Genomic DNA, 8311 nt, shown 5'->3' on the forward strand with positions numbered 1-8311 from the left:
CCCCTCCCCCTCTATTTCATCCTCTTCCTCCTGCCCCAGGAGGACTGTGGACAAAGCCATGAGTAGGCTTGGCCAAATTCACCCAAATCTGAACCCCCAGGCTGCCCTTCCCTCCAGCCCTCCAGGCAGGCACTGCAGAGTAGTCAGTCTGGAGTGGATTTGTGCCTGGCAGGCCAGGCTGTCCTGTGTTTCTTTGCCTGGGGTTTGAGTTGTCGATGGAGGGTCTGACTGGAAAGACAGACACAGGGAGACATCCATGCAGGCATGTCCAAAGGGACATGGGGAACTCTCAGGTCTCAGTTGAATGCAGTCATTGTTGTATCCTCTGGGAAAGCATTCCTCTAGTGCATCTAAGACCTCCAGACCCACAGAGCCTGAGATCAGGAGGAGAGAATGTTAAATTTTTGCTAATGGACCACTGAAGACATTTTTGAGTGGAGCCACTACAATTTACTCCTTGATTCTGGACTCATGGATCCTGACTGTGGGAGAAACAGCACCATCTATTGGGCACTGATGCACAGAACATGCCCTATCCTGGAAGACATTGTCCAGCCCTACACATACTTGCCACTTGCCTGGTGCAGTAATGGTGTCTCCAAGCAGTCATTAAACCATTCATATAAGCCATATGTCTCAGAATGTTTGGGACAAGAGTAAGAATCTTGATTGCCAGAAGAAAAGGCCCATAGCCCTTTATTTGCAGTGAAATGAATTCCTTGGTCAGAACCTCCTGTGGAATACCATCATGATGGGTGCGTCATTCTGTAATCCAGAGACAACAGTTTTGGCAGAAGCATTGCTGTCAATGAAAGCAAATCCTCTGTAGAATAAATGTCAATTCTAGTAAGAAAAAAGAGCTATTCCTGCCATGATGGAAGAGTGCAAACGAAATTAATATTAAGCAGGCCCCTGGCTGTTTTCCACAGAGAAAGTCATCCTATAGGGATCTCTGTGTTAGTCTCTGCTGTTGGCAGATGGTCACTCAGCAGTGGCTACAGCCAGGCCAGCTCCAGTTAGTGGAAATCGACATTGATGAGCCCATGGACAGCCTCCATCCCTGCCACCATGGGCGCTTTTTTTTATGGAGCCCACTGGGCATTGACAAGAGTGGTTGAGGGAGGCTGCCTGATGTCCACAGAACAAGTCACCCTACTCACCTGATTAGCAAAATCACTTCATTTTCACAGAAGACTTGGTGAGTATTGACATATGGAAAAAATTCTCTTACTTTCTGCCCACCGGAGGAGGTCTATTCACACATCTCTCCCCCTGACGTATTTGTGATCAATATTCTCATTGTGTCTCTCTCAAGTCCCTGAACATCCTTGAGCATCTTTCAAGACCCTGAGTCACAACCTGTGAATTAGGAACCTCTGCCCATCTCTTGGCAGGTGACATGAGCCAATTGCACTGCTTAAAATTCTACTTTAATGAGAATGTTCCTCCAACACTGCTGTTCAGGGATTCTCAGAGGCCAGGTGGAGTACTAGCACTGTCCACACCAGTAGTGGCTGCATGTCCTGCAGAAAACTCTGTAACCCCAGCCTAAGTGCCTCCTCCTAGGCAGCTGATCTCAGGGAGCCCCTCAGGACGTCAAGGCTGTAGGTTGAGAGGAAGACATGGTGCAGGGCTCCGGTCATGTCTATTTGGCCAACTCTTCATGAAACTTACTTGGGCCTCGTGACCTAGTCCCTCAAGTCACAAATACATCCCTGCCATGTGATTGAGGAGCTGCTGGAAATGGCCAACCGGGACTGTGGTTCAGACCAAACCTAGCATACTGGCAACTTGGGTCACATGGTGAGCTGTGTGGCCACAATCACACAGAGCCTCTGCTGAGGCCCAGGAGCCTTCACAGTCTTTCTCAAATGGAGCTTTCTGCTCATTCAAAAAAATAAGTAGAGGGAGGCTGGGACCCCAGGACCACTTAGACCACGCACATGATCTTGTCTGATTATTCTGAATCCTTGCATGCTCAGCTATGCATTATGGTAACCAAGCCACAGTGTCTTTGGCAATAAAATGCCACTACTTGGCCCCCACCTACCCTGGGATCCCCTCAACCACATCTTGCTACCCAAAACAGGTTTCACCTCCACTGAGAGAAATTTATTTTTATATTGAGAAGATGAAAGATTAATTATTTCAATTGTGAAAATTTTATAGGACAGTAATGTGAAAATATTTTAAAAGACACTTTACGAAGAGTGAAAGACCTTCCATTAAACCACTCAATATATGACACTGTAATTGGCCTACCCAAACCCTAAGTTCAGCTCCGGGTTGGGACCTTCTGGGAATGGACCCTTCATCCTCACGCCCTCCTCTCCTCTCCTCTCCTCTCCTCTCCTCTCCTCTCCTCTCCTCTCCTCTCCTCTCCTCTCCTCTTCTGTCAGCCCTGTGCCTCCTATGTGCAGAGACAGCTGGTCTCAGTGTTGGTGGCCCTGGGACTGACAATCATGAGCACATACTCTGGAGATAACCTTGAGATAAACATGCATTAAGGAACCAGCAGAATCCAGGCCAGTCCATGGTGCTGGTCATCTAGTATAACAGCAACTGACCCTCAGGGACATCTGCCCAATTCTTAGGCTTCAACTCAGGGAACATGGCCACCATGACCATTAATGGAGCCCAAGCCCGGGAAGAGACTGACTATTGCTGAACTGCAGATAATAACAGTGGGAGCAGCTGGCAGGGACTCATAGTAACACAGAGAGACAGGGACTAGCCACAGAACTGTCCCATCTCGGCCTGGCTCTCATTCTCAGCTGCCCTGTGAGCAGCTGAAGGTCAGGCCTCAGGGTCAGGCGTCCTCTCTGGTCTTAACCTGGCCCCTGCAGGGCTGGTGATTCTGAGCAGCTTCTCCATCCTCTCAGGGCCTGCATGTGTCCAGTGAGAAGTGAGTGGACAGGGGGAAGCTGGTTGGAGCTGCAGGAACCTCTGTCAGGTTTGTGGTGTACATGAAAGGTTTAGGAATCCACACAACATCACATGGCCCCAGATGTAATCACACATCACACAGGGGAGGAAAGAGCTGTCGCAGAGGGTACAGTCCTGTGGAATTTCTCTTTTCCTTGGGTATAAGCAGCTTAGTGGAAGCTCCAGAGGCTGTGTCTCCTCTGGTTTCCAGATGAGTTCAGTTGACCTCCGCATTCTAAAGGGGTGCCTGAGGCCTGAGGAGGACTGGAGACCCAGCCCCTTTTGGCCCCAGGGCCCTTTCTGTGCTGACATTTCACAGAAACTGAAGAGGAAGAACAGACACTACCTTTCATCCCACCTGGGGACTGTCTTTGGGGCACGCTGAACTCCCATGGCCCCCAAAGTCCCATCACCTTCCCCAGGTAGGTCAGACCTGACTGGATGTCCCTCTAGTGCCCTGATAGTGTGGATTTTATCTTTGGGCTCTGGGCTGCTTTCTGAGGAGCTCACTAAGAACCCTTGATGCCAAGTCCAGGACCTGCCCCTCTGCTCCATGTCCCAGGGGCTGCAAGCATGACGGGAAGGTCCTGCTGGGTGAGGATGGTGCCCTTTTCCAGAAGAGATGTCTGATTCCAGTCTCTAGGGCCAGGTTTGTTGGGCTTTTTTTCTCACTTGGAAGGTCTCAGTCTGCTTATTACCTTCTTTAAAAGTACAATTGGTTTAATCGTGAAATCATGTGCATGCACTAAAGTTTACAGACTATGGTCATCAGCACATATGTACACTCTTTCTGGATGGGACAACTGTGGACACGGCCATACTGGGGTCTCTGTCTCTCTCATTATCACAAGGGAGGATACCAACAGCTCTCTCCTATGCAGACCGTAGTCATGTTTCCCAATTGCACAAGAATGTCTCTTACAGTTGTTTAATTTCCTTCCCAGCCAGGACGCTTAAGTTTCCCATGCTGATACTTGGTTGCTATTTCTCTCTGATCCAACATTTTTCAAACAGTATTGCTTGCAACCCAAGGCTTATGAAACACTTTACCAAAAGTTCCACAAGAAAAGCTCAAGTTTCTCATGCACCGTTGGACCAGGTTCATTGCGTGCAGTAGGACCTTGCTCAAGTGATGAGTCCATTTGATGTTTTCACCATCAAGGTGAAGGGTATTATGACTTTTGGGCACTGAGTTGATAGAAGGAAGACAGCAGCTGATGATGGCCCTGCCCACCGATGTGTGTGTGTGGGCAGGACCTATCGATGGATTTAGAAGTTGAGGGAACTGTTTATTCTGCAGATGGAATTTCCAGCACTGAATCTCCACCAACCAGACACTAGCACTCAGCAGGTGCTCTGTAAGAAGAAGCCCTTCACTGCCAATCACGGCCATTACACAGGTGAAGGAGAGGATGATTTTTAACAGCCATTGACCCTCACAGTAAACTGAGGTCAAAACTCTGGTACACAAAGTGACTTTGAGAGAACAGGCTGAGGAAGCAGGTTAATTAGTAGCAGAAGGCTTTGCCGAGAGCAGGAACAAAACAGGGTTGGTGAGGAACTAGTGATGCCATGGTGTGGAAGGAACAAGGCCTGTACCAGGAGCAGGAAGGGGCATGGGAAAGACCACACTGCCACATGTGATGAGTCAGCACATGGAAGGCACAGCAAATGTTGCACAAAGGTTTTTGTGTAATAACCTGGCAAACAGCTGCTTCTCTATCAAGATTGATGAGTCAAAAAATGTTACTGATGCATTGCTGTCACATGTGAAGGTGTGTGAAGAATGGTGACATTCAAGGAAACCTGTTCTCTGCAGACACCTACCCACCAGTACAGCAGACACCCCAGCTATGCCAAGGGCTTTGTCTTCCTCTGGGGTAAGAGCCTGGGAACAACAAGTTGGCCCCTGAAAGGGGTGCCCCATCATGCGCTCTTCATGGCTGAGTTAAGTGGGGAGCTCCCAGAGAACTTTCCAGTAAATGGTCAATCTGTTTGTTCTGGGTGCATTGAGCATGACCCAGGATCAATGGAAGTGACAGAAGCTTAATTTCCCCAAGGCTGCAAGGCGGGCACTGGGAGGACGGCTGAAGCAGTTTAGCCACCACCCCCTAGTGGCTCCAGCCCCAGGTAAGCAGGGACAGTTGAAGGGCCTGCCTGAGCCCACCTGTGTCTAATTAGTTCCAGCATCAGCAGCTGCATCCTGTAGACCACCAAGGAGTGTGTGTGCCCAGCCCCTCACAGATCACCTGAGCATAAACAGGAAATTCTCCTTCTTACACCTGACTGCACCACACATCTGCCCCTTGCTCTTCATTTACAAGACGCTATCACATCAGACACGGACTGATCTGAGTCCCGGGTTCCCTCAGGTTTCTGCTGTCCTCTCAGATCCCCACACACAAAAGACTCTTCACCACAGGGCGTTGAGCCAGCTCTTCCCCAACACTGCCTCTTACAGGTTACTCTTCTCCAATATGATGCGGGTTTGATTTCAGTGTTTCTACATATATACTTTTGTATTTTATTGGGTAAGCTGAGCCCCTTGTACCTGATCTTGAGTCAGGCAGGGGCCACACAGAGAAGAGGTGTTCCTCCCCTGGGACCAGCAGTCCTCGGATCAGGGCATCAGGGACCTGAACAGCAGGTTCTGAATCCACACCTAGACCCAGGAAGTCCCTGAGCCCCCAGCCCACAGTGTGGAGCGGCCACCAGGGGGAAGCAGAGAGTTACCTGGCAAAGCCACCTGGCGATGGGGCGGGCCTGGGTGACAGGGAGACGCTGACATGCAGCAGGAGCCAGTGACCATGATCTCACACCTGGAATGAAAGGGTCTTTATTTTCATAGAGTATTGTCCTTGTGTACTTGACACTCATGTAGAAATTCTAGAATAGGATTTTACCTTCAGCTCTTGCAGATGCTGCCTCTTTCTCTGCCACAGCTCCAGGCACTTGACTTCTCACAGTGCCCTCTCCTCACACACCCAGTTGTGCTAAAATGGTGTCCCTGCCATGTGCAGTGTCCTCCCTGAGGTCACAGGTGTCCCCTTTATCTCCCCTTTGCTCTGGGAGCCCCTGTCCTGCAGACACAGTGGCTTCTCCTTTCCTGGCTGCTCCTCCACTTTCATTGTCCCTGGTCTTTCCGGACTCTCTCCTGGGGAAGCTGCCAAATCATGGCTCTTGATTTCCTGGTGAGTCACAAAATAGTTGCTCATTAACCTTTAGTTGACTTAAGTTCTTAATCATTGATACATTTTCCCCAACAACTGACGACAACTTAGTTATAATAAACATTCACTTCTGGGGGTCTTGGAGTTTGCAGCCCCCTCTCATTCTCTCATGGAGCAAACATTTCCTTCGCCTTCTCATCTGTCTCTGATCCTGACAGCATCCTGGAGATACTGAGGCACAGCAGCTATGACCTACCCAGGAGCTTGCAGCCAAGGCAGAAACTTCCATCACCTCATGGATCTTCCAGCACTCTGTGTGCACTTGACAAATAAGAAATTCCATTGTCCTCTACCACTCAGGAGCTGTGCCCTGCGGTGGGACCTGCACCTTTCCAAGGTGTGTGTTATCATCTGCACAGTGGAGATGAAGAGGGAACCTGCATTGGGTTCTGGAAAGTAACATCTAAAAATATATTTAGACCTGCAACAGAAATCTCCTCTCTAACATAAAATATTTATGATCAGGACACACTGAGAGGCCTAGACCAAAATTAAGCACTGCCCTCCTGAGCCAGGATAGAATGGAGGAGGGGACTGGGGACCCCAGATAATTCCACAGTTACCAGCATGACTCTATGATCACCTCCTGGACCAGATCAAAGATCATCCCATATGAAGGACTTCATATTCCTTAGGAAATACAAAGTCACCTCTGAGCTCTGCTGTGACCAAGTGAGCCCAGGAATGAGGCTGAGCACAGTGTGATGTGGAGATGTCTGCAGAGAATATGGAATCAATTGATAAAGGAGATCCTGTGGGCAAAGGGTGGGAGGGCAAGGCCACCCCTAACCTCTTTGGGTCCCTTGGGGCTGAGTCCTTCTGGAAACCACAAAGCTCCTCCAGCAGCAGCCCCTGACTCTGCTGATTGGCATCACGGGCTGTTCTCTCCAACAAGGGGTTAAGAGAGACCTGGGAGGAGCCTGCCCAGCCTCAGACTTGAGAAGCAGCATTGGAGGCACTTCAGCCATGGCCTGGCCCCTCTTTTCCTTGGTCTCCTGACTCACTGCCCAGGTGCTGCCCCCAGGGTCTCACCCACCTGCCCAGCCCCAGGCCTCCAGGTTCAGCCTGGCCATCAGTCTGAGCTCAGCAGGGCCCTGTGTGTGGTGGGCAGGATGCTCGTGACCCTGCTGCAGGGGGAGGGGCTGGTTGGGCTGAAATGCCCCCACTCTGTGCTCCTGTGCTCATGGGTGCCCTGAGAGCTCTTTTATTCCTGGGGCTCACTCCAGCCCTGGCAAGTAGCAAGATATCCTGGGGTTGAGCCTCTCAGTTTCAAATTTTTTATCTCCCCTTTCCTTCTTGCAGGCTCTGTCACCTCCTGTGAGCTGACACAGCCACCCTCAGTGTCAGTAGCTCCAGGACAGATGACTAGGATCACCTGTAGGGAAAACAGTATTGGAAGTAAAAGTGCTTAATGGTACCAGCAGAAGCCAGGACAGGCCCCTGTGTGGGTCATCTATGGGGATAGCAGGCGGCCTTCAGGGATCTCTGAGATTCTCTGGCTCAAACTCAGGGAACAGGACCACCCTGGCCATCAACAGGGCCCAGGCTGGGGACGAGGCTATTACTGTAAGATGTGGGACATTAGGACTCCTCATCCCACAGTGACAGAGGTAGATGGGGAAGTGAGACACAAACCCCTTCCCCATACGTGTCACTCTTGTCCTCCAGCCCAGGAAGACTGTGGACAAAGCCATGAGCATGGGTTTCCCAATTCACCTGGATCTGAGACCCCCCAGGCTGCCCTTTCCACAGGCCCTCCAGGCAGGCTCTGCAGAGGGGACATCAAGACTGAATTTAGGGCAGAGGTGACCAGGATATATTGAGGTTTGGGGGACTCAGTTGTGATTTGGGGAAATGGGGCCAGAATGGAAGGTCAGGCCAAGGTCAACATCCTTAGTTGGTCTCTGGATTTCCATAGGGGGTGAAGGCCAGTCCTTGGGCTGAATATCCTGAGTCAGTTTCCAGAACTGCCCAGCTCAGGCTCCCATGGCATCCTGCCATTCTCTGAAAAGGGCCCTGGCATGCCAGGTGCTCTGGGTTCTGAGGGAGAGTTGGAATCAGATCCTCCTGCAGGAATCCAGGGTCAGGAGAAGCAGCCTCACCTGACACAGGGACCACAGATGCACCCCCACAGGGTGAGCTGCAGGATGGATGCT

The 8311-nt window shown here is 50.6% G+C and overlaps 1 long non-coding RNA gene, 1 pseudogene and 1 further gene across 2 annotated transcripts, besides 1 other annotated feature; 2 read left to right on the forward strand and 1 right to left on the reverse strand.

Moving 5' to 3' along the window:
• The window catches only part of IGL (immunoglobulin lambda locus), an 896838-nt gene that overhangs the window by 661243 nt on the left and 227284 nt on the right, over window positions 1-8311 (forward strand).
• On the reverse strand, window positions 5438-6696 carry LOC112267890 (uncharacterized). Of its 2 annotated transcripts, none has more exons than XR_001755446.1 (3): window positions 6352-6696; window positions 5829-6113; window positions 5438-5744 (listed from the first exon to the last, which is right to left on the reverse strand). It is a non-coding gene; the product is annotated as an uncharacterized LOC112267890 (long non-coding RNA). The 2 variants fall into 2 exon arrangements; XR_001755447.1 differs by having other exon boundaries at window positions 5438-5759.
• Window positions 5508-5557: an enhancer, noted in NCBI's record as "active region_18724". NCBI's record gives its function as "activates an Ori minimal core promoter by ATAC-STARR-seq in GM12878 lymphoblastoid cells {active_cell/tissue: GM12878}" and the evidence as "EXISTENCE:reporter gene assay evidence [ECO:0000049][PMID:35858748]".
• Window positions 7458-7752, forward strand: IGLV3-24 (immunoglobulin lambda variable 3-24 (pseudogene); annotated as a pseudogene). The gene is given in 1 exon segment: window positions 7458-7752. A coding segment is annotated over 1 exon segment (295 nt).

The sequence above is a fragment of the Homo sapiens genome, chromosome 22 (assembly GCF_000001405.40).
Source record: "Homo sapiens chromosome 22, GRCh38.p14 Primary Assembly".
Classification (NCBI taxonomy): domain Eukaryota; kingdom Metazoa; phylum Chordata; class Mammalia; order Primates; family Hominidae; genus Homo; species Homo sapiens.